The 26,277-nt window shown below is 35.8% G+C and overlaps 1 protein-coding gene across 16 annotated transcripts in view; it reads right to left on the bottom strand.

Annotated features, from left to right (window-relative positions):
• The window catches only part of EPHA6 (EPH receptor A6), a 946,939-nt gene that overhangs the window by 113,311 nt on the left and 807,351 nt on the right, over positions 1-26,277 (bottom strand). For 15 of the 16 annotated variants that reach the window (XR_001740110.2, XM_017006211.2, XM_006713592.4 and 12 more), the window contains one exon: positions 10,140-10,349. Coding sequence is in view for 15 of the 16 variants with exons in the window: in XM_017006211.2 (XP_016861700.1) it covers positions 10,140-10,349 (210 nt within the window). In the remaining variant the exon portion in view is untranslated. Of the gene's footprint in view, positions 1-1,911; positions 2,104-10,139; positions 10,350-26,277 lie in introns of all 16 variants that reach the window. The other variant, NM_001278300.2, reaches the window with a different exon arrangement.

Genomic DNA, 26,277 nt, shown 5'->3' with positions numbered 1-26,277 from the left:
GTCAATAATGAGGCTCTGTATTTCAACAAAGTATTTCGACTGAATTGCTGCTGTCAGACAAACAAAACCAAAATTTGCCATGGATAACACAAAATCGATGCAATTAGAAGTTAAAATCAAGGACTCATAAAATTTTTAACGAGTATTGCAATAAATGATTCTTCTATTTTGCTTTGATCTTCAAAATATAATAAAAGAAGTTTACTCATGAGAATTTTTTTAAAAATCTGAACATTTACTGCCATTATATTTTAAATGAAACCTATCTCTTAAAATGGATGAGTGTGCACCATAATATATCTTTTAATGTTCTTTTTAGGTAAATAGGATCTCATTTCCATAATTGAGAGCCAAGAGGCTTAGCATTTTCAATGTAAGTTTAAGACTGGGTTGCCTAGCAATATTCAAATGAGAGAGTCCCTCCTCTGGAACTGGTTATAAAACAGTTGTCCATGTGAATGTGTGTCAAACTCAGAAAAGGCAGTGATTTCTTAGCACCTAAATTATAACCAGACAGGAGACCATGTAATCAGATGGAAACAATGTGAACTGTCAGTAACTTTTATGCAGATTAATTTAGCCACATAACACTAATTATATATGTATTGTTAGGTGCGGACCCTAATCATTCACTAATCTCTCATAAGTGCTTTGTAATCTCATCATAGAATTGGCATGTAAAAACAAGGCCTCAGTTCTCATCTAAATCCTATTTTTGTGCATTTATTTCCTTCTATCTTGGCCCACAATACACATTTCTTGGTTTTCATGCCATTATCAGATCTTAAAGTTTCTTTGAAAAAGCTTGATGTATTTTAGTTCAGGGCTTACATACTATACCAGAAAAACCTTCTGCTACAACTCTTGTTGCCTTTCATGCTGTGCTGTCGACTCTTGGTGTCTGTACAATATATGAGTTTTACTATATGCCTTATTTGGTTACCCTTGGTCTTATTCCTGTGTAGCCATTTATCTGTTCTCAATAATCCCTTTGTTTTTGGTTGGTGGTGCAGTAGAGTTCTTTGAGTGGCCTTGGACCAACCCAGCTCTCTTTGCTTTCTTGCTTGTAGTTCTGAAGAATAACAGTACAATGTGCTGGGAATGCAATATCCTCAGATAGGGAGAAACTGCCTGAAACCTGTCCCTCCTAGGAAATTGAATAGCTTGAGTTACGAAGGAACTGCATGGGACAGACTGAGTTTTGTTCCTCTCTTCCCTGGAAGCTGGATGTCCTTTACAGCTTTGCCCAGTATGTCATGTGGCCCCTGAAGTACATAATCCAGAGTGGACTGCCTTTCAGGGTCCCTCAGCTGTGAAAGTGGAGCATTCATATCAAGACTACATCTTTCCTGTTCAGCTTTCTTCAGCCTTGGAGGAACCACACACAATGGATCCAAGACTTCTGTCCCTTGCTAATTATCTATAAGAAGTAAACCCATTTCACATAACTTGTGAATATGTTTTCTTTCACTGGATTTTGGCAAATAGGTACCCAGTGCATGGTGGACCTACACAGTAGCTCAGGATGCAGTGGGCATAAGTACATATGGACTCCTGTTTCTGGTGGCTGGCATAGTGATGATTGATCTTTTGCTGTTTTCCTCATGGAATGGGAGTCCTTTTTTGGGACTGATAATTAGCGAAGCTGTTTCACAATTGGCCCTCCAAAGAATAGTGCCTGAAATATGGTCGCTCTATAATAAACTGTGTAAAGTACACAGTGAATGAATATGTCAGACCTAGAGCACGGCATGCAAAACACTCAAGTTGAAGAAGAAAATATTAGAATTTCTACTTATATTTAGGTGTAAATCTCATTCTTCATTTACTTTAGTGTATTTTGAAATGTGGACAATACTGTCTTATATATTACATGTATAGGATTTTTAAACGGGGCTCTGAAAGACTCACTGTTGGAGGGTTATCTCTCTTGTCACATTGCTTTCTGGTCTGGCCACTGGCTCCCATGGCCCTTCTGTTTCTCTTCCACATGAGGACCAGTCCAGTACCATAACCAGAGCTGGACTCGCACTGCTCACACAAGCTTTCCAGACCATCTTCTTTAACCAGTTCTGATTGCTCTTTGTTGTGATTTGTGGGTCTCTGAATTGGCAAAGTCATTTTAATGGAAAATGCCTATTCTGTCCGTATTTTGATTAGAAAAGGATAGCTTCCATGTAGCATACTGTTCTAAAGATATTTTTTTCTTGAAGATTACAAACCTCTCCCCAACAACTGCCCCACAAAACCCAACCTTTATCTATCATGTCTTCTTATTTTTAAGCCCTCGCAGCCTCTCTTTCCTCCAAATCCTTCCTGACACAGATTATAAAAAACATTTACAAATAATGAGCAAATAGCAATTATAGTTACACAGCAAGAGAAAAAGTCAAAATCATCTGAGGTAAAATATACGTTCAAAGAAAGTTATATATAGATACAACTTAAAAAAACTGAATTATACGTAAAATATATACGTATCAAGGGAATTTTCTCTTTAAAGCTATTTTCATGCAGATGTTCTTATAAAACAAAGAATCCTTTTCTTTTTTTTTTATTATACTTTAAGTTTTAGGGTACATGTGCACAACGTGCAGGTTAGTTACATATGTATACATGTGCCATGCTGGTGCACTGCACCCACTAACTCGTCATCTAGCATTATGTATATCTCCCAATGCTATCCCTCCCCCCTCCCCCCACCCCACCACAGTCCCCAGAGTGTGATATTCCCCTTCCTGTGTCCATGTGATCTCATTGTTCAATTCCCACCTATGAGTGAGAATATGCGGTGTTTGGTTTTTTGTTCTTGTGATAGTTTACTGAGAATGATGATTTCCAATGTCATCCATGTCCCTACAAAGGACATGAACTCATCATTTTTTATGGCTGCATAGTATTCCATGGTGTATATGTGCCACATTTTCTTAATCCAGTCTATCATTGTTGGACATTTGGGTTGGTTCCAAGTCTTTGCTATTGTGAATAATGCCGCAATAAACATACGTGTGCATGTGTCTTTATAGCAGCATGATTTATAGTCCTTTGGGTATATACCTAGTAATGGGATGGCTGGGTCAAATGGTATTTCTAGTTGTAGATCCCTGAGGAATCGCCACATTGACTTTCACATGGTGGATAAGCTTTTTGATATGCTGCTGGATTCGTTTTGCCAGTATTTTATTGAGGATTTTTGCATCAATGTTCATCAAGGATATTGGTCTAAAATTCTCTTTTTTGGTTGTGTCTCTGCCCGGCTTTGGTATCAGAATGATGCTGGCCTCATAAAATGAGTTAGGGAGGATTCCCTCTTTTTTACTGATTGGAATAGTTTCAGAAGGAATGGTACCAGTTCCTCCTTGTACCTCTGGTAGAATTCGGCTGTGAATCCATCTGGTCCTGGACTCTTTTTGGTTGGTAAACTATTGATTATTGCCACAATTTCAGCTCCTGTTATTGGTCTGTTCAGAGATTCAACTTCTTCCTGGTTTAGTCTTGGGAGAGTGTATGTGTCAAGGAATTTATCCATTTCTTCTAGATTTTCTAGTTTATTTGCGTAGAGGTGTTTGTAGTATTCTCTGATGGTAGTTTGTATTTCTGTGGGATCGTTGGTGATATCCCCTTTATCATTTTTTATTGTGTCTATTTGATTCTTCCCTCTTTTATCTTTATTAGTCTTGCTAGTGGTCTATCAATTTTGTTGATCCTTTCAAAAAACCAGCTCCTGGATTCATTAATTTTTTGAAGGGTTTTTTGTGTCTCTATTTCCTTCAGTTCTGCTCTGATCTTAGTTATTTCTTGCCTTCTGCTAGCTTTTGAATGTGTTTGCTCTTGCTTTTCTAGTTCTTTTAATTGTGATGTTAGGGTGTCAATTTTGGATCTTTCCTGCTTTCTCTTGTGGGCATTTAGTGCTATAAATTTCCCTCTACACACTGCTTTGAATGCGTCCCAGAGATTCTGGTATGTTGTGTCTTTGTTCTCGTTGGTTTCAAAGAACATCTTTATTTCTGCCTTAATTTCGTTATGTATCCAGTAGTCATTCAGGAGCAGGTTGTTCAGTTTCCATGTAGTTGAGCGGTTTTGAGTGAGATTCTTAATCCTGAGCTCTAGTTTGATTGCACTGTGGTCTGAGAGATAGTTTGTTATAATCTCTGTTCTTTTACATTTGCTGAGGAGAGCTTTACTTCCAAGTATGTGGTCAAGTTTGGAATAGGTGTGGTGTGGTGCTGAAAAAAATGTATATTCTGTTGATTTGGGGTGGAGAGTTCTGTAGATGTCTATTAGGTCTGCTTGGTGCAGAGCTGAGTTCAATTCCTGGGTATCCTTGTTGACTTTCTGTCTCATTGATCTGTCTAATGTTGACAGTGGGGTGTTAAAGTCTCCCATTATTAATGTGTGGGAGTCTAAGTCTCTTTGCAGGTCACTCAGGACTTGCTTTATGAATCTGGGTGCTCCTGTATTGGGTGCATATATATTTAGGATAGTTAGCTCTTCTTGTTGAATTGATCCCTTTACCATTATGTATTGGCCTTGTCTCTTTTGATCTTTGTTGGTTTAAAGTCTGTTTTATCAGAGACTAGGATTGCAACGCCTGCTTTTTTTTGTTTTCCATTTGCTTGGTAGATCTTCCTCCATCCTTTTATTTTGAGCCTATGTGTGTCTCTGCACGTGAGATGGGTTTCCTGAATACAGCACACTGATGGGTCTTGACTCTTTATCCAATTTGCCAGTCTGTGTCTTTTAATTGGAGCATTTAGTCCATTTACATTTAAAGTTAATATTGTTATGTGTGAATTTGATCCTATCATTATGATGTTAGCTGGTGATTTTGCTCATTAGTTGATGCAGTTTCTTCCTAGTCTGGATGGTCATTACATTTTGGCATGATTTTGCAGTGGCTGGTACCGGTTGTTCCTTTCCATGTTTAGCGCTTCCTTCAGGAGCTCTTTTAGGGCAGGCCTGGTGGTGACAAAATCTCTCAGCATTTGCTTGTCTGTAAAGTATTTTATTTCTCCTTCACTTATGAAGCTTAGTTTGGCTGGATATGAAATTCTGGGTTGAAAATTCTTTTCTTTAAGAATGTTGAATATTGGCCCCCACTCTCTTCTGGCTTGCAGGGTTTCTGCCGAGAGATCCACTGTTAGTCGGATGGGCTTCCCTTTGAGGGTAACCCGACCTTTCTCTCTGGCTGCCCTTAACATTTTTTCCTTCATTTCAACTTTGGTGAATCTGACAATTATGTGTCTTGGGGTTGCTCTTCTCGAGGAGTATCTTTGTGGCGTTCTCTGTATTTCCTGAATCTGAACGTTGGCCTGCCTTGCTAGATTGGGGAGAGTTCTCCTGGATAATATCCTGCAGAGTGTTTTCCAACTTGGTTCCATTCTCCCCAACACTTTCAGGTACACCAATCAGACGTAGATTTGGTCTTTTCACATAGTCCCATATTTCTTGGAGGATTTGCTCATTTCTTTTTATTCTTTTTTCTCTAAACTTCCCTTCTCGCTTCATTTCATTCATTTCATCTTCCATTGCTGATACCCTTTCTTCCAGTTGATCGCATCGGCTCCTAAGACTTCTGCATTCTTCACGTAGTTCTCGAGCCTTGGTTTTCAGCCCCATCAGCTCCTTTAAGCACTTCTCTGTATTGGTTATTCTAGTTATACATTCTTCTAAATTTTTTTCAAAGTTTTCAACTTCTTTGCCTTTGGTTTGAATGTCCTCCCGTAGCTCCGAGTAATTTGATCGTCTGAAGCCTTCTTCTCTCAGCTCGTCAAAGTCATTCTCCATCCAGCTTTGTTCCGTTGCTGGTGAGGAACTGCGTTCCTTTGGAGGAGGAGAGGCGCTCTGCTTTTTAGAGTTTCCAGTTTTTCTGTTCTGTTTTTTCCCCATCTTTGTGGTTTTATCTACTTTTGGTCTTTGATGATGGTGATGTACAGATGGGTTTTTGGTGTGGATGTCCTTTCTGTTTGTTAGTTTTCCTTCTAACAGACAGTACCCTCAGCTGCAGGTCTGTTGGAATACCCTGCCGTGTGAGGTGTCAGTGTGCCCCTGCTGGGGGGTGCCTCCCAGTTAGGCTGCTCGGGGGTCAGGGGTCAGGTACCCACTTGTGGAGGCAGTCTGCCCGTTCTCAGATCTCCAGCTGCGTGCTGGGAGAACCACTGCTCTCTGCAAAGCTGTCAGACAGGGACATTTAAGTCTGCAGAGGTTACTGCTGTCTTTTTGTTTGTCTGTGCCCTGACACCAGAGGTGGAGCCTACAGAGGCAGGCAGGCCTCCTTGAGCTGTGGTGGGCTCCACCCAGTTCGAGCTTCCTGGCTGCTTTGTTTACCTAAGCAAGCCTGGGCAATGGCGGGCGCCCCTCCCCCAGCCTCGCTGCCGCCTTGCAGTTTGATCTCAGACTGCTGTGCTAGCAATCAGCGAGACTCCGTGGGCATAGGACCCTCTGAGCCAGGTGTGGGATATAATCTCGTGGTGCGCTGTTTTTTAAGCCGGTCTGAAAAGCGCAATATTCGGGTGGGAGTGACCCGATTTTCCAGGTGCGTCCGTCACCCCTTTCTTTGACTCAGAAAGGGAACTCCGACCCCTTGCGCTTCCCAAGGGAGGCAATGCCTCGCTCTGCTTCGGCTCGCGCATGGTGCGCTGCACCCACTATCCTGCGCCCACTGTCTGGCACTCCCTAGTGAGATGAACCCGGTACCTCAGATGGAAATGCAGAAATCACCCGTCTTCTGCGTCGCTCACGCTGGGAGCTGTAGACCGGAGCTATTCCTATTCAGCCATCTTGGCTCCTCCCCCACCCTTTTCATATAAATGACCATTCTTCCTCTGTATTTTATTATACAGGGTTTGCTTGAATTGACTTGTATCTTCAGTAGGCAGGTTTCTAACTATTTCATTCTTTTTAAGAGGAAATGTGAAAAGTATTTGGGGGCTAAGTACATTCATAGAATGCTCTAAAATTTATAAACAAAGTTTTGACAGAATGCCAATGATCATTTGGCATTATCTTGCCTTTGAGACAGAATATCTGTCTATTATAATTTTGTTATAATAGAATATCTTCTTTTATAATTTTGCTTTGTAATCTAATACCATTAGCCAGGTCATCTCTAATAGGGATTCTCTGTCTTGATTAACAGCATCTCCATTTAACCAGTTGTTCAATCTAGAAATATTAGTGCCATCTTTAAATCCTCCTTCTTCCTTACAATTAATATCCAATTAATTATTGAATCATAATGAACATATAATGAACATGTTAATTTATGTTATTTCTCTCTCCTCCTCTTTATTCCAACTGTCATTGCCCTAATTAAAGTCATATAACCATTCTGGTTTATTGCAATAATGCCTAACTGGTCTGTCTGCTACTAGTCCTCCTGTCCTTCAAACTCTCCTTCCTTTCTTTACACTGTTTCAATAATATCTTTTGTTTTTTTTTTGAAATGGAGTTTCACTCTTGTTGACCAGGCTGGAGTTCAATGGCATGATCTCAGTTCATCGCAACCTCCGCCTCCTGGGTTCAAGCGGTTCTCCTGCCTCAGCCTGCCGAGTAGCCAGGATTACAGGCATGCGCCACCACGCCTGGCTAATTTTTTTTTTTTTTGTATTTTTAGTAGAGATGGGGTTTCTCCATATTGGTCGGGCTGGTCTCTAGCTTCCGACCTCAGGTGATCCGCTCCCCTCGGCTTCCCAAAGTGCTGGGATGGGATAACAGGCGCGAGCCACCGTGCCCGGCCCCAATAATATCTTCTAAGACATGCGTCTATGTTTGTTATTTCCTGTTTAAATAAATCAGTGCCTGTCTCCTAGTTGCTATACAAAAACCTTCAAATTTCTTGGAGTGCCACTCAGGTACCTTTACATTTATTCCAGGAAAATTGGCCCCTCCATTGCCTATGGCCCCAAATTTTCATCGATAGGCCCATTCACTTTTTTGCATTTCCATGTCTTTTTTCTTTCTTCTTCTCCATCTGGACTACCTTTCCTCCAACTGTCAGCGTAATAAATTCTCCTAAGATTTGGTTCACATTTTGACTTTTTGTGACGCCTTCTTCAGCCTCTGCTTTTTGGTACTTCTGTAGTTCTTTTTAAGACCCCCATGACCACACTTACTGTATTGAATTGCAAGGCAGCATGAACCTTCTAACCTGTGAAAGTATAAAGTCTTTAAAGGCAAGAGCTTTACTATTTTAAGTGCTGAATGTCCATGTTCATTATAAAGTCAGTCCTCTGAACAGTAAGTAGTTCTGAGACTTAAAAAAAAAAAACTTGATTATATTATTTGCCATTTAATTGATACCTTCTAAATTCAGAGACTTATTTCTTAATCAAGACATAATCTACAGCTTTTCAAAGGCAGTTTTTAGAGTGTTAATATTCTGGTTACCTAATTTGCTATTTAAGTCTGGGGTCCAATCTAAATTTTAAAAAGCACTGTCCTAGGCCTCTTAGTCTTTAGAATCACATAAGACAGAAAATGCCAAGAGTCTGGTTGTTAAATTTGATGTAACAAAACTTACGTATGCATAAAAATTTCAGTTATCTGCCAATTTCATGAGTATATTACATTTAGTTATAAGCTTACCATTTTAAAAAGCAGTTAAAATATTATTTTATTAAATTTCAAGTCTATTTATATAGGCTTACTGCCACAAAGAGTGTAGTAATTTCCCATCATATTTTATTTTTTAGTAGATTGTATTTGTTGCAATTTTTATAAATATTACATTTGGAATATTTGTATAACACTTTTCAACATTATTCTTCAGCATTAGAAATAATGTGCTTAATGGAAAAATTTTATATTCGTTGTTCTATAACTTCAAAAGTTGTTTTAAGTTATAAATTTGTAAAGATAAAAGAAAATAAAGGCCTTGAGAAAAATGAAAATAATTATGATATTTTCCAATTTAAAAATGGAGTTGAAAATACTGCTTTTTCTAAACTGCACAAATTGTTTTCAGAACTGATAGACTTTTATTTTTATGAAGCTTTTTGGTTAAATTAAAAGATCAGTAGATACTCCTACACTGCTACTTTATATATCAGACAATGAAAGGTTAATTTATTTTCCTTAGAACTATATTTCTTTGTTGAAGAAACTGTGAAAAATATCATTGATAAATTAATAGATAACATTTCTACAAAGCAAATATAGCAAGGCATAAAATATTCCTTTCACAATATTAAACTTGCATTTTATTCTGGAGTAACTGAATACAGCAAAGTTTCAAAAAAACTCATAGAGCATGAAATAAAAAAGGACTCAATAATGAAGTTGCATCTTTTAAAATAATGTGTAAAGTGAGAAAATAAGAATATAATAAAAATCTTTTGAGTAGCTTTAATAACTTATTTTTCATTGAAACTGACTGCCAAATGAGTTAGTGGTGAAGGTTTGTTTAAAAAAATAACAGAATATAACTTTATGAATTAGTAGCTTGAAGATAGCACAACAGAGACTTTGAGACCAAATTTCTCAAAACAATAACCAAGGAGATCAGTGAAATGAATTGGTTTAGGACAGTCAGAAATATTTACACTATCCATAGGACAAATTGAACTGATATAATTTGTGGATGACGGTTTGGTTCTAAAGTTTTAAATTTGCATTTCAGCTCACATTTTCTCCAAGTATCATTTAGGAAAAGGTTTAGAGTGTACTTATATATCTCCAAAGAAACCCATATTGTTCTTTATAAGTATGATCAGATCATTCAAAACCATTTGGAAATAAAGTCATTTCAGAATCACTGGTTCCTCATATTACTGAGGTAGTAATTAATTCTACCATTTAGATACACAGAACTCTATTTAAATAAAATTATTAAATCATCAAAGATACTTCAGCCCATGTTATAACATCCAGTCATGACATGGACGTTAAGCATGATGTTAAAGTCCCAGGACAATGAAAGAAAGAAAACAGTCAGGTATGAAAGTTTTTGTTTTCTTTTTTGTTGTTGTTGTTATAAACTAGACACTCAAAGCAAATACTTCTCAATTAAATAATGATATCAAATTAGCAAAGTAATAAATACAAGCAGAAAATTAGGAAGGCAGAAACAGAATTACTCTAATGACATTAAAAACAATAAAAGTAAACAGACTATATTAGGAAAGGGCATATAAACTTACAGTTGTTGTATAAGCAGCTTCTGGATCATCTTCCAGCACTCTGGAGAGACCAAAATCAGAAACTTTGCATACTAAGTTGCTATTGACCAGTATATTCCGAGCCGCTAGGTCTCGATGAACATAACCCATATCAGAAAGATACTTCATGCCTGATGCAATGCCTCGGAGCATTCCGACCAACTGGATGACTGTGAAGTGGCCATCATGCTTCTGCAAGAGAATCACAATTGTGTAAATTGATTTATTTTAATGCAGTGTGTGCGTGTGTGTATTAAATAAGATCCTTATATTTATTTTATTGGATCAAATGAAGATAAGCATCAACTTTGGTGATCACTGACTATATTCATAAGGAAAAGTAATAATTTGTTTGACATTTAAAGAAAAGGGAAAATTTAACTGGAAGTAGTGAAGGACAACTAAACAAAGGACAGAAGGAAACCAACCAAATTAACTCTCAGAACAAAATTATTTCAAAAGCTTAGGTAATAGGAGAGAACTAAAGTGAAATAAAGTAAGAGCAAAGTCTGCCAAAAAAAAGGCTACCAAACAAATAGAATCCACTTTCCATAGCTGTGAGCTTTGAACCAGCTGTACAGCTGGGTAGAAGGGCAGCAAAACCTAGGACTGGATAAAACCCGTGTGATAACTGGAGATACTGTGAAAAATAGTAGTCAGGACAGGTGACTCAGGAAAAAAAAAGTGATGGTATAAACAAGAAACAAGTATAGGAAAGCAGCAGAATGAAAAAAAGCACAAGCAAACAGAAAAGAAATAGAGTTTTCCATTTTTTTCATTATACAGGGAAGACAGAAAAGTTGTTAGCAATTGACAGAAAAATGAGACAATTTTAGCTCCTGATTGGAAGGATTAAATTAAATGATGTGGAGAATGAGTCAGGCATGGTATCAGTATCAATCCCATTTAACTAATCAATCCCATCTTATTCCCTCCACCTTGATTTTAAAATAATGTTTTCATTTTAAAGAGTTAAAAAATACCCAATTGTTATCTGAGCAAAATGTATGCACCAACAAGACCAGATACAAATAGTAAACAAATAGTACCCTTGAAATTAGAGGAAATAAAAATAAAAATATTTTAAGTGTGAAAAATAATGCATATTATTCTACCTAGTTATTCGGAGATTGTTGTCTTTAATGGAGTTATAGAGCAACATGAAAAATTCTTTTTTTTATACATCATGCAACATTTATTTATGAATGATATTAAAAATGAATATCTAGCAGTAGATTGTAGGGCTATATTACTTTATGTTATACATTAGAAGCACAAATAAGAGAAACTTATAAATTTTAAAAGTTAAAGCAGATTTTATGAATACATATCTGATTTCAAACCATAGTGCAGCTTCAGGACAGAGATGATCTTACCCTAGCTGTCATGGTGACACAGTCTCTTATACAATGATGATTCATTGTTCAGGTAAATGAATAAGCTTATACTACAAATGAAATAAACTTTGTCTTGCTCTATCAACTTATCTCTCTGATAGCTCTCTGATAATATCTCCCAACTCAAGTGCAGAGTAAGGGAAAGAACCCTCTCTTAAAAAAACACTCTTAGAGCAAGAATATCCATTTAAGCCGGCACTTCTGTATAATTAATGTATAAAGGATGACCTAGCAAAGAAAATCTTTGATGTTATTAGCTCTTTCTGTTTCAAATCCATCTTCTTAGACAGTACACTATTAGATGAAATCTGCCTCTTCTATCATGTACACTACCTACCACTCTTCTATTAGGAATCTTGAAACCTTTGAGTGGAATTGAAAGTATAAGTTCTTTCGACCTAAAATGAAGTACACTGAAGTTTAAAAGTTGGCTTTTTTACCTATTCAAAAATGGAGTTGCCTCCTATCATAATTCTTGTCAAGCAGAATTTTAAAGTAGTAGTGAATGTTAATGGGGCACCTGAAAACTCGAGTGTCTGTTTCCTTATCTACACGATGAGAATAGAGTCATCTAACTTGGAATTGCAGGGAGAATCACATATAAAGCAGACAGCACAGCTCCTCACTTAATTTAATAATAGTTAGTCCTTGTTATTACTGTTATTATATGTGTTTTTTTTTGCAATTTTAATGAGTCAGAAAATTCCCTTCTCACTTTTCTGAAAAATCACTTCTCAACATATGCTCCTACATATATGATGAGAAATAGTTACTTAAGACCAGGTTGAAATTTAATGTTCTATCTATGCCGAGTGTGTCACAAAGCACCAATTTGTTTTTTAATACTTTTATTGAAATATAATTTGTGTACCATACAATGTATCTTTTAAAGTATACAATTGAGTTTTTACCTTATTCACGGAGTTGTACAACTATCACCAAAATCAACTCTAGAACATTTTCGTCATCCCCTCTGAAAAGGCCCATCTTTACTAGCAATAACTCCTCACTTCTCCTAACTCCTCCCACCACCCCGGGCAACCAGTAGTCTACTTTCTAGCTCTATATATTTGCCTATTCTGGATATCTCTTGAATGGAATCATACAATATGTGGTCTTTTGTGACTGTCTTCTTTCACCTAGTATGTTTCCAAGGTTCATCCACATTGTAGCATGTATCAGTAATTTATTCATTTTATTGCTGGATAATTTCTACTCTTTTTGTGTATTCATCAGTTGATGGATATTTGACTTATTTCTACTTTTTGGCTATTATGCAAGTTATTTTAAAAATTAACCTTAAAATATTTTTGTCACCAACATTTGAAGATTTAGATTAACTGCTTTCATTTCAATCATCATGGTAATAACGGTTCTAATAATGGTAAGTGGTATCATTTTAAAAATAAGATTTTGGTGTATTAAAAGAATCTAAACTACTTTCTTTATGTTCTTTTATAGGACTATAAATGTAGGATATTTACTTCTAATCCATTGGCCAAGACATTTTCAGGGGTCCATGAGGTCAAAATTATTTTCATAATAGCACTAAGTACATGTTTTTGCCTTTTTTCACTAGGTTGATATTTGCACAAATGGTACAAAACTCTGATGGGTAAAACTGCAGGAGTCTTATCAGGAATCAAGTCAGCACCAAACCAAGCTATACTAGTATTCTCATATTCTTCTCTGACACAGGCACTCACAGAAAGATTAAAAAAAAAAAAAGCTAGGTTTTCTTAAGAATGTCCTTGGTGAAGCAGTAAATCTTATGAGTTTCATTAAATCATGATTTTTGATTAGACACTCTCAGCATCAATACCTCTGAGGAAGAGAAGAAAGCAGGATTGGGCAGCAGCAGGTTACAGTTCAGTGCCTTCACCCAAAGGCCTTCATCTATTTTATGGGATGTTCTGGATAACTCCTCAGAGTTGGCTCAAACTGAGGAAAGAAAGACTGGGCCCCTGTCCTACCTCAATCACTGGATTCAGGCTGCTCGTGTAAAGGGGTCATGGCCTTGGGTGAGGTAGCTTTCTTTAGCCAAGAGCATTCCCTAGGGAGTGATTCGGTTAAGGGCTATCAGCTTCCAAAACTCTGGAAGCTATAGGAATAAGGAAGCTGGTCCTGTGAGCCCTCCCAACAAAGTTCCTGCGTGCACATCTTTTTACAATCTTTCCCAGGGAACCCCACCTGTGTTATTTTATCTCTCTATCACTACAATCTTCTGTCTATTTATCCACGATCCAATTGGTCTATCTACTGTTTATAAAATGTGGGCTTGACGAAAAGAAAAAAGCTCTACAAATAGTTCTATATGCTTTTGGGAATGCATCTGATAATTTCTTCCACATTATTATAGGAGAAAAATAGCTAACATTCATTGAACACGATAAGCCAGTCCCAGACTAAGGTTTTTACAGGTCTTATTTTATTTCATTCTCTCAATATTGATGTGATGTAAACGTAGTGATTATCTTCATCTTGTAGATGGTGAAACTGGAGGACAAAGAGATCTAATAACCTAGTGAGTGGTGGAGTCCGGATTTGAATCCAGGCAATGACAGAGCCTGTATTCTTATCTATTGGAGTTTTTGGAAAAACAACTGAACCAAATTTTACCTAATTCTGGGCTAGGTTGGGTAGCATAATTTGGCAAAATAAAGCAACATATAAAGACTTCTAAGGTCATTTAACCAAAAGCAAACAAACAAAAACACTCCAGATAAATCAATAAATGAGGATCTATTCACCTCTGTCTGGCTGAGAGGAACAGCCCCATTTATTCATACATGAGGTATAGCACAAATCTATTTCTCTACAAATGACACAGTTCTCTTATTCAAACAAAATCTATATTCCTTTTTCTGGTCTTCCTCAACATAGCCTCCTCAAGTTTGGTTTAGGACATATTGGTTTCCTTGAATATGGTAGATGGTTAATAAATGGTGACAGAATTAAATAACTTTTGATCCTATCTTGTGGTGCAATGGTTGTTATTGCTATATTGTTCCTATTGTCTCGTATAAAACAGACTGTTTCCTTTTCTTAAAGTAGGACATGAGTATTATCCCTTTATGTAGCAGTTCTATTACAGCATCCACTATATTGCCATGCATTTTGTTAGCACTCGATAAATATTAATTCAAATTGAATCGAATTGTTTATGAGGGGAGAAGAAAAATGTGAGAGCACTGAGATTTAATATTTTGGGGCTTCTTACTGAAGATTAATCTAAAAGAAACTATGAATTTTTTTATGACATATGGTCTCTTCCCAGGAAGGCAGATTCAAATGAAAGAGAGTGAATATGGCATATTTATATACTGCATCTCAGAGATTAGTAGCTGGAATTCAGTTTGTCTTCATCCCTCTTTTTTTTTGCTCTCTCAACCTGACTGCTAAGAAACATGGATTTTACCCTCTAACTGACAGAAAGGGTGAGCCTGATTGGAAGGGGTTTCTGAAAGCTATATATAATAATGCCTGCTGTTTCTAAAAGCTGCAGAGCTCCATCAGACTCTCTCAGACACCAGAACACAGCATCCCCAGATCTGAGCAGTAAATGACATGTCGCATTGTCTATGTGGTAACCCAATCACTTCACGATGGTTGTCAAGGCGCTGCTTCATGGACTGTATCTACATACACTTCAAGCCTCTCAGTGTCCATTCATCTTAGGCTGAGCTCAAGTACTTAGACCGAGGTTATGACAAACATAGGATCTGAGTGCCAGGCTGTCCTGAAGCCAACACATTACTTTCTAACAAAATTTTCTGTGAAAACACAAATCTTACCCTGTGACTTGTTTTAAACACTTCAATGATTTTCAATGACAGAATAAAGTGCACTGTCTTAGTCATGAATACAAAGACCTGACCCTTGCTCATATCTTCAGTTGCATACCCTTATTCTGCTTTATTTATTTATTTTTTGCATGTGCTCAATTCACCCCTAGAACATGCTGTTTTATATCTAATGTGTTTTGCTTATACAGTTTCCTCTTCCAGGAAGGTCATTCTAGTCTTTGTCACCTGAGTTTTTTTGTGACTCGTATTATCTCTTCCAGGAGGCCCTTGCTGAATCCTCAAGTTTATTCCTTCTAACAACACTCCCTGAGTATCCTATGGGCCAGTTACTGTAATTCTAGGTGCTAGGAGTCAATGTGGGAAGCAAAAAAGGGTGATTTGAGAGCAATAGAGAGAAGAACTTGGTCCAACTTGGCTTTGTCTCTAAAATAGATCTCAAACCTTGGCTAAAACCAAATATGTATGTGTTTTTCTCTCCCACTGGATTGAACATGATCTCGAGAACAATGAGCATATCTTGTCTTGTTCACCCTTGTAATCCCAGGGTCTAGCACCTTGCCTGGCACAGTGGATATTTAATAGATATTCACTAAATTGAACTAAACTGAATTCATTTATTTTTCTCTTAGAGGAGTGAAGCTTTTCAAACTTTCAGTATGCGGTAAGATATTCTCTTGATGTATTTTTAATGAAAAGTCATATTTACTATAGGAGATTCTCTGCAAAGATCACGAATGAACAAGAAGTACTGAAGTGTTGACTACACTTGCAGCCGTCTCCACTTTTGAGGACAAGACTCTGATTATGACTACTACAAAATTTTTATATTTTTGCTGAAGAGTGAGGAAAAGGGAACTAAATATCTTATATAGATATCTGCTATATTTCTTTCTAGATCTTCAATGGAGAATCACTGATGTCAAGCCCACCAACCGAATAGCTTAGAAACTGTCAAAGATCTATGGACCATAATATAAATCACTGCCCTCAAACTTTCTTGCCGAAAAATGTGCATTATTAAAGCAGATAACTCTGGCGATTCAGTGTCCTTAAAAGGTTAAATATGATGGTAGATGACACTATAACTGGTAGATGATAAGCTGCTATTCTTGAGGAGAATTAACAAAAATTGCATGTCACTGATTCTACAAACATTTAGAGGATACCCTTCACAATGTGGTGTCATGGGTACCTACAATAAACAAATTTCACAGATTCCTCACAAATCTGGTTCAATAAATACTATTGGATAATGACAATTTAAGCTAAAAAAAGAAGTAATGGAAATTTGGTCCATATGTATATCAAAAGCCTTTTTGGTTCACTAACTATGAATTATAAGAAATGACACTAGCCTTTCAAAACAAAATGACAAAAAAAGAAGGCTAAGTGGAAGCCTTGTAAAATTATTAATTCCAAACCTTTGACTTGAGCTATAAAATGGCTACACAGGACATTTACCTTACTAGATGGTTTACAAAAGACCAAGGTATGCAAACACTGGACACTTCAAGCCTCTCGTTCCCATTTTTGTGTTGCTAGAGGTCATTCTCAAAAAACTGGATGTCAGAAATGCAAAGGGTTCATAAGAGACAAAAGATGGGCATCTCTGAAGAGCCAGAACAACACAGAGGATCTGACTTTTGGGGTACTGATCGTCCTTTGGTACAAAAATATCCTCACCCATATTATCTGCCTCTTTCCACTTACTTTTGTTTTGCTCTCTGAAATTCCTCTATTAAAATATTTTTGGGGTTTACAAATGCAGTAAAAGATGAAAAATCATCTGGAGGAATTAGAATAGTATTTGTGAGTCACATACTCGCATAAATCAATCTAACCTTATATCCAGCTAAGATTTGTGCCAATGAGAAAATGGAAACTGAGATTAGGATGGGATGACAGTCCAGGTCACAGGTGGTTTTATAAGGTGGAAAAAGACCTAAACTCAGGCAAGAGGGGATGAAGAAGTGCTACCACATGTGATTTGTCACAATAAAAGTTTTATATTTGAGGACTTGGAAGGAAGACATGACGAAATAGGTAGATACATAGAAAAATTGCCTTAAAATTTTTGCCCGGGGCAAGTCATGTAAAGGGAAGGAAAACACACTTTCCCCATTTTGAAGGAAACTTCCAGGCCTCTTTCTTATTGGACGTTTCATCTTTTAGCTGTAGTCTGTGTTAAAGAGGCTTCTATAAGTCTGCCCAGGGACTTCAGAAATGTCTTTAAAAGAAATATTTATGGAAAAATGCATTTTAAGTTCTGAACAATTGATTTATAAATGACTTTGCAGAAAACAGTCCTTGGAGGATTACTTCTATAACTTAAGTTTAAAGTTAAATTTCAGTTTTTATATGTTTCTAAATCAAAAAGGTGACTACACTATGACTTTTTAAAATGATGTTGAATTTGAAAAAGAAATGTTTGGGATTATTTATAGATTTCAAAACACCAAATCACTCTTGTTTTTAAAATAACCACCAAATAAATAAGTAACTATCTCCTTTTTATTGAAAATTGTCTGAGTTCTTGTGGTCTTCCCAGTTGAAAATCTTATTATAATTTAACTTAATAAATCCTTCAAAGATCTTTCTCTTGTAGTCATCATACATTTTGAACTTAAGCTAGGCACAGTTATATTTTTAGTTGTAGTTGAGAGAGGCCACCAAGAGTGAAATCAGTAATTTCAATAATAAGAAAACTAAAAATGTCATTTCTAATACACCTAAAAACCTAGGAAGAACATAAGTAGATATGGATTTGTGAAACATGGTGGTTGGATTTCAGAATTACATGTTAAGAGCTAAAAATGAATCTGAATATAATATAGCTTTAGCTTACAAAGGTTACTACTGAATTTGCTTTGTTCAAAATAACTTCTGCTTAGATTTATATGAAAGTAATATATACTAGTTACTGTGTACTATATTTATACAAAGTCAAAATTAAATTTAAAGTTATTATTTGGGGTAGGGTGTCACAAAGTGCCATCATCTTGATGAAGCATCATTAGAGCATATCAGAATAATCCAGGGAAGTTTTTGCAGACCATATCTGTGTGTGTCTGCATATGTATCTGGTGAAGTCTCTCTAAGATGGTGATTCTGGTTATTGAGCATGGTTAAATTATAAATTTAGGGTTTAATATTCAGTTCTGTAAATCCAATATCTCATAAATGGTACAAACAAAGGGATAGGAGTGACCATAGAGGAGTTCAGGAAAAATACATAGAATTTCTTTATATATAATTTTACATTATATACAATCAAAAGATCAATGTCAAGTTTTGTATGCAAAAGAAGAATTAATGAGAATTATAAATTATAATTTCATGGTATCAGTTAATACAGTGTTTAAAGAGGTATACTCATGCTATTGAATATTGCTGCTTAAACTCCTAATTTACAAAAAAGTTCACTCATCCATACCATATGCTTGGTTCTAAGCACACCATGCTCTCATATATGTGCATGTCTGATGTCACATTATTTTTAGAATAGTATTTAGCATTAAGCTGACACAGGTATAGTAAAAGATAACATTCTACTGCATGAAGTTTAACCTATTTTTCTCTTAAAAATGTAATTAAGGTGTGTTTCAACTATAGTTTTTATGGCTTAAAAACAGTTGGCCAGGCATGGTGGCTCACATCTCTAATCCCAGCATTTTGGGAGGCTGAAGCAGGAGGATCATTTGAGGCCAGGAGATTGAGACAAGCCTGGGCAACAGAGTAAGACCCCATCTCTACAAAAATAAAAAATTAGCTAGCGCGGTGGTGTATGCCTGTGGTCCCAGCTATTCAAGAGGCTGAGTTGGGAGAATTTCAAGCCCAGAAGTTTGAGGTTGCGGTGAACTATAATCACGCCACTACACTCCAGCCCGGGCAATAAAGGCTCCAAATAAATAAATAAACAAACAAACAAATAGTTATTGGTGGGTAAATGCAATTTTCTTCTTTTCCACTGCTGAATATAAAATGAGTGTTATTTAGATTAATTTCACTTTTCTACCTCAGCACAAATATAACCACATGCACACAATTTACAAGAAAAGTGTGCTAATAAAATACAGCTCTCATTATTAATAAATAACTAGTATAAGGTGAAATGCCATCTTTACTAGATTTATAATTTGAGTACATAAATATTTAAAAGATCTCTTTAATTTTTAAATTAATATTTGCTTCACATTTGCTCAAGGAAACTCTTCAAATGTCTCACATTGCTGTTGAAATGCTGATATGCACTTAGATATGTTATTTCAATAGTCATATTCCTGAAGTATATCTACATTTTTTAATGGTAAAAATTGAAACTATTTTTAGCCACCTGAAAAAACAGATCAGGAAGTAACAGACAATTTTATGACTCTTAGTGATATCTTCTGAAATATAATATAATAATAATAGATGACCTTATGAATACCTGATTATGTGGCAGACACTGTTCTAGGAGTTTTATGTATATTAGCCATTTAATACTGTAGTGCAATAACCTTAGGAAACAGTTATTGCCTATCATTGAACTTATTTTGTACGTAAATGTTGTCCTTGATTTTCTCTTTCTTTTATGCACTTTATCCAATCCATCAGCAAATCCTATTGGCTGTACTTTTAACATACATCATAGACTTTGACCATTTCCCATAAACTCTACTGCAACGATCCTAGTTTAGAGCATCATTATCTCTTACCTGGATTATGGCAAAAGCCTCCTAATTTCCCTGCATCTATTTGTGCCTCACTGTAGTCTCTTCTTAATACAGCAAACAGAGTGATCCTTATAAAATATAGTAATTAGGTCATCATGCTATGCCTCTATTCCAAAGACTACAGTGGCTTCCCATATTACTCAGAGAAGAGTCAAAGTCATTATAATGGCCTACTAGGCCTCATTTCAGTAGTTTTCCAACTTGGCTGCATATTGGACTCAACTGGGGGAACTTTTGACAAATATTGATGCATATGTCCCATCCCAAGAGATTTTGATTTCATTGGTCTGGGGTAAAGCCTGGAACTTGAGATTTTTAAAAGGTCTTCAAATTTAAATTATTATAATATATAGCCAAATATGAGAATCATTGCTGTCCAAGAGATGTTTCCCTTTCTGTCTCCATCTGCTCTGATTTTATCTTTTACTATTCTTCTTACATAATCTTCTCTAGCCATAGTGATAGGGTGACTATATATTTTATTATTCTAACTGCAGAGTAAAAGGCTCATGCTAATAATTGTGAAGGGATAACATGCATAATTTGGCATTGTTTTAGGAAAAACAGGCATTATGTTCATCAAGCATAAATACTTATTTGCCATTCTGTAGAAATAAAATGCTCCTACTTCAGAGAACTGGCACTTGCTATTACTATTCCCTGGAATATTTTCTCTCAGGTATCCACTTTATTTGCTCCCTTACCTTCTTCTAATCTTTACTCAAATGCCATGTTTCAGTGAGACCTTCTCTGCCACTCAATGTAATCCTGAAACCCACTCTCAACTCCACTTGCCTTTTCCCTGCTTTATTTTTCTCCACAGCAATAATAACATCTGACTTACCATATATTTTGCTGAATTCTTTTTTCTCTACCCACTAAATTTTTTAATTCTCTTTTGCTTACTTCTGTATTCCAGGATCCAGAAAAGTACCTGGCCTACTGTAGTCTGTCAATACATATTTGCATAACAAATGAATAAATGATTTATCAGCTGTTTGACATTGGGCAAGCCACCTAACTTGCCTTGCCTCAGTTTGGTCACTGGTAAAATGAGGATAGTGGTAATAACTACTTCACAGTGCTGTTGTAAACAGTAAGTGAGCTAATGCATGGGACTGGAATAATGACTGACCCATAGAAAGCACATGTAAATGTTAGTTACATTAGTTTATTAAGTATATTAATCTCATCTTTATTTCAGCCACAGACTCCCAAATGGACATCTGGAAGTTGTCATTTCTAAAACTGCCTCACTTTAGAAATCTTAAACATCAACCTAGTATTATGGTGGTAAACCTGCTCTCCAGAGAAAAATAAGACAGAAAGCCCTGATTTGTAGCATTTGCCAATTCCTGTGGTGTAACTACTCCCAACATAGCAAATTTTAAGCTACTAATAGTTTATCAACCAGCTCTTGCAAACTGGTATGATCTGGCTTTAGCACACTACTGCCAGTACCCTACTTTCTGGCCACATTCTTCTTTCCCTTCCTCTCTTACCCTCATACAAAACTATACTTTCTCATCTATGCAATAAAGACTTCTAGCCCATATACTCTCGATTCTTTCTAGTCTATTAGACTCTTTATTTCCTTCTTTATCTAGCATGGACTCACGGTCTGTTACCTGAATGATCCCTTCACTACCATCCTCAGTCCCCTTTTGGCATCCTTGTTTTTCTTTTGTACATGCTCTACAAACCATAGTTTCTATTATCTTCACTCTTACATTTGGGGAGTTGAGTGTTCATGTAGAAAATCACATAAGCATGCACATCACTGCCATAACACATTTATGTTCTTCAGCATCAGCTGAATGTTCAGCATTATTAGTTAATTATTTTTCTCCAGGACCAAGATGAGGGCTGGCAAGTTTGGGGAACAAATGTATACAACTAGCACATATAACTGGGCCAACAGGCCAAAAGATCATCTCTCCTGGATACTTACATTGCATACAATTAATAACTTTGATGAAGATTTTTGGTTGGTTGCACCTGCTGGGGCCTTAAAAAAACAGTAGTAGAACTTGCTCTTCATGGTCCAGCATTTTCATGATCTGCTACTTTTCTTTTTAATTTCAATAATTATTCCAAACATTCACCTTAAAGGAAAGTTTGTCCTCAAAATTCCCATAAAAACTCTTCTACTACTTTGTATAGAAATGCAATAGAATCAGGCATCATTTCCTTCAATTTATGCATGTTCCTCATAAAGCTATCTAGATTCCCAACACTCCAGTCTTGGGAGATGTGGCGGCTTCTACTCTCCAAAGTCAATCCTCCACTAGGTTCCTTGATTTTGTACCTTTTCATCTCCTTAAATCTTTTGTTTTATCAAGTTTTTAAATGGTCCCTTCTTCTTTTTCAGTGTATACATAGTCCAAATTGTCATCTATTTTAAAAATATCCTTGATTTTAAGATACAACAATTACAAACATTAACATAAGTAACAACAGACCATCAAAATATATGAAACAAAAATTGACAGAATTGAAGGGAGAAACAGACAGACAAACATTTCAAAATCCCACTCTGAAAAATGGACAGAACAACCAGAGAGAAGATAAGAATATAAAGGACTTGAATGACACAATAAACCAACTAGATCTAACAGAAGTACACACTATACCCAAGAAAAATAGAACAAAATTTCATGTGGAATATTTTCTTTGATAAGCCATATGTTAGACAATAAATTTAAGTATCAAGAGATTTCAAATAGTAGATTTCATACAAAGTATGTTCTCTGACTACAACAGATAAAGTAAGAAGTAAATAACAGAAGAAAAACGGAAAAATCCACAAATTTGTGTATAAACAATAAACTCTTAGACAACCAATGGATCAAAGAAGAAATCACAAAGAGAATTAGAAAATACTTAGTGACTACTGAAAATGAAAGTACCTCATATTACAATTTGTAGGACACACGTCCAAAGCAGAGCCAAGGAGGAAATTTGTGGCTATAAATGTCTGTATTGAGAAAGAGGAAGATCTCCAAACCACAACCTACCTTAACAACGTAAGGAACAAGAGAAGAACAAACTAAAACCAAGGGTAACAAAAATAAGGAAATAAATATTAGAAGAAAGATAAATAAAATAGAGAATAGAAAAACAATAAAGAAAATCCACAAAACCAAAAGTTGGTTCTTCCAAAAGAACAACAAAATCAACAAACTTTTATCTAGATTGACCAAGAAAATGAAGAGAAGACTGAAATTACTAAAACCAGAATGAAGGTGTAATATTACTACCAATTCTACAGAAATAAAAAGGATTATGACAGTACTATAAATGATTGTATGTGAACAATTAGATAACCTGGATAAAATGGAAAAATTCCTAGGAACACAAAACCTATCAAGACTAGATGATGAAGAAATAAAAAACCTGAATAGACCTATAACTAGTAATAAGATTAAATTAGTAATAAAAAATCTCTTGATAAAGAAAATCCTTGGACCTGATGATGATGGCTTTATTGGTGAAGTCTACCAAACATTTAAAGAATGAACACAAATCCTCCTCAAACTTCATCCTGAAAAATTGAAGAGGAGAGAGACATTTTGATTCATTCCATGAACATTACCTTGATACTAAAGCCAGACAAAGACACTACAAAAAACCCCCACATTACTATAGACCAATATCCCTTAACCATTTATGAAAAAATCCCCAAGAAAATACTAGCAGATGGAATTCAGCAGCATGTTAAAAGTATTATACATCATGGCCAAATTGAATTAATTCAAATTAATAATTTGAATGTCAGGATGGTTCAAATATGAAAGTCAGTCAATGTAACACACCACATTAACTGAATGAAGGGGGAAGATCTCCACAATGATCTAAATTGGTGAAGAAGAAAACATTTGACAAAACTCATCACAGTTTCACGATAAAAACACTCAACAAGCTAGGAATAAAAGAAAATTACTTTGACATAATAAAAGCTATATGTATGTTTATATAACCCACAGTGAACATCATACTCGACCGTTATAAATTGAAAGTTTTTCCTCTAAGATAATGAAGAGGGCCAGGATGGCACTTTCACAACTTCGATTCAACATAACTAACAGAATTCCAACAACAACTTTTTTTTTTGGCAGAAACACAGAAGTCCACCCTAGAATTCACATTCACGTTATATTTCAAGGGACCTTAGATAACCAACAGAGAAGAGCAAAGCTGGAGGATTCACATTTCCTGATTTCAAAACTTAGTATAAAGCTACAATAATCAAAATATTGTGGTATTTGCATAAAGACACACATATTGACCAATGGAATAGATTAGAGAGCCCAGAAATAAACCTTTTCATGTATGATTGCTATGGCTTGGATGTATGTGTCCTTTCCAAATTCATATGCTGGAATCTAATACTTAATGTGATAGTATTAAGAGTTGGGCTTTTGGTAAATGATTAACTCATGAACACTCAATCCTCATGAATGGGATTAATGCTATTGTAAAAGAGGGTGAAAAGAGCGTCCTAGCTCCTTTTTGCCCTTTTTGCTCTTCTGCTCTTCCACCATGTAAGCACACAGCTTTTGTCCCTTCTGTCATATAGAATGCATCAAGAAAATGCCATCTTAGAAGGATAGTAAGCCATTACCCTTGGGCTTGGACTTCTCAGCTTCCAGAACTGTGAGAAATAAATTTCTATTATTTATTAATTATCCAATCTGTGTTATATTGTTATACAAGCAGGAAGGGACTAATACAATGGTCACATAATTTTTGAAAAGGGTGCCAAGATTATTAAATTTGGAAAGTACAGTCTTTTCAATAAATGATGCTAGGAAAGCTGAATATCAACATGCAAAATGATGAAGTTCAATCTTTACCTAAAACATATGTAAAAATTAACTCAAAATGCATCAAAGACCTAAATGTAAGACCTCAAGTTATAAAACTCTTAGAAGAAAACACAGTGCAAAACCTTCATAACATTAGATTTGGCAATGATTTCTTAGATATGATACCAAAGCCACAGGCAACAAAAGAAAAAACTGACAAACTGTGCCACATGAAACTTAAAAACTTTTGTGCCTCAAAAAACACTATCTGCAGAGTAGAAAGGCAACGCACAGAATGGGAGAAAATGCTTGTAAATCATATATCTCCTAAGGGAATAGTATCCATCCTATATAGAGAACTCCTAAAATTCAACAAAAAAAAATCAAGCAACCTGATTCAAAAATGGAAAATGGACTTGAATAGATACTTTTATAAAGTAGATATACAAATGGCCAATAAGCACTGAAAAGATCCTGAAAACCACAAATCATTACAGAAATTAAAACTTCGTTGAGACACCACTTCACATCCATCAGGATAGCCATTATAACAACAAACATAAAACAAACAAAAACATCAGAAAATAACATGTGTTAGTGAGAATACAGAGAAATTGAAACCCTTGTACTCTGTTGGTAGGAATGTAAAATGACATAGCCACTATAGAAAACAGTATGGTGGTTTCCCTAAAAGTTAAAAATAGAATTAAAGTATTATCCAGTAATCCCACTTCTGGATATATACTCAAATGAATGGAAAGTAGGGTGTCAAAGTGCATCTATTCTCACAGTAGCATTCTTCGCAATAGCTAAAACATGAAAGCAATACAAATATCCACCAGGAGATGAATGGATAAGCAAAATGTGGCATATACATACAAGGGAATATCATTTATCCTTAAAAAGAAAGGAGATTCTGACATACACTTCAACATGACTGAACTTTGAGGACATTATGCTAAGTGAAATAAGCCAATCACAAAAGACAAATACTATATGATTTCACTTACATGAGATACTAAGAGTAGTCAAACTCATAGAGACAGACAGCGGAATGCTGTTTGCCAGGGGCTGGGGGAAGGGAGAAGTGGGGAGTTTAATGATTTTAAAGAAGTGGGAAAGTTTAATTACCTAATGAGTACAGCATTTCAGTTTTGCCAGATAAATAGAGTTCTGCAGATGGATACTGGTGATATTTGCACAATGATATGAATGTACTTAATACCACTGAATTGTGCACTTAAAAATGGTTAAGATGGTAAATTTTATGTTATGTGTATTTTATCAAAATAAAAAAATTGAAAAGAAATCCTTGATTTTTCTTATATTTTGGTCTACTAGCATACTAGCATTTGATTTATTGCTTGCCTTGACATCTCATCCACCTGTTCCCA

The sequence above is a fragment of the Homo sapiens genome, chromosome 3 (assembly GCF_000001405.40).
Source record: "Homo sapiens chromosome 3, GRCh38.p14 Primary Assembly".
In the NCBI taxonomy this organism is placed as follows: Eukaryota; Metazoa; Chordata; class Mammalia; order Primates; family Hominidae; genus Homo; species Homo sapiens.
This window is presented reverse-complemented; position numbering and strand designations above follow the sequence as displayed.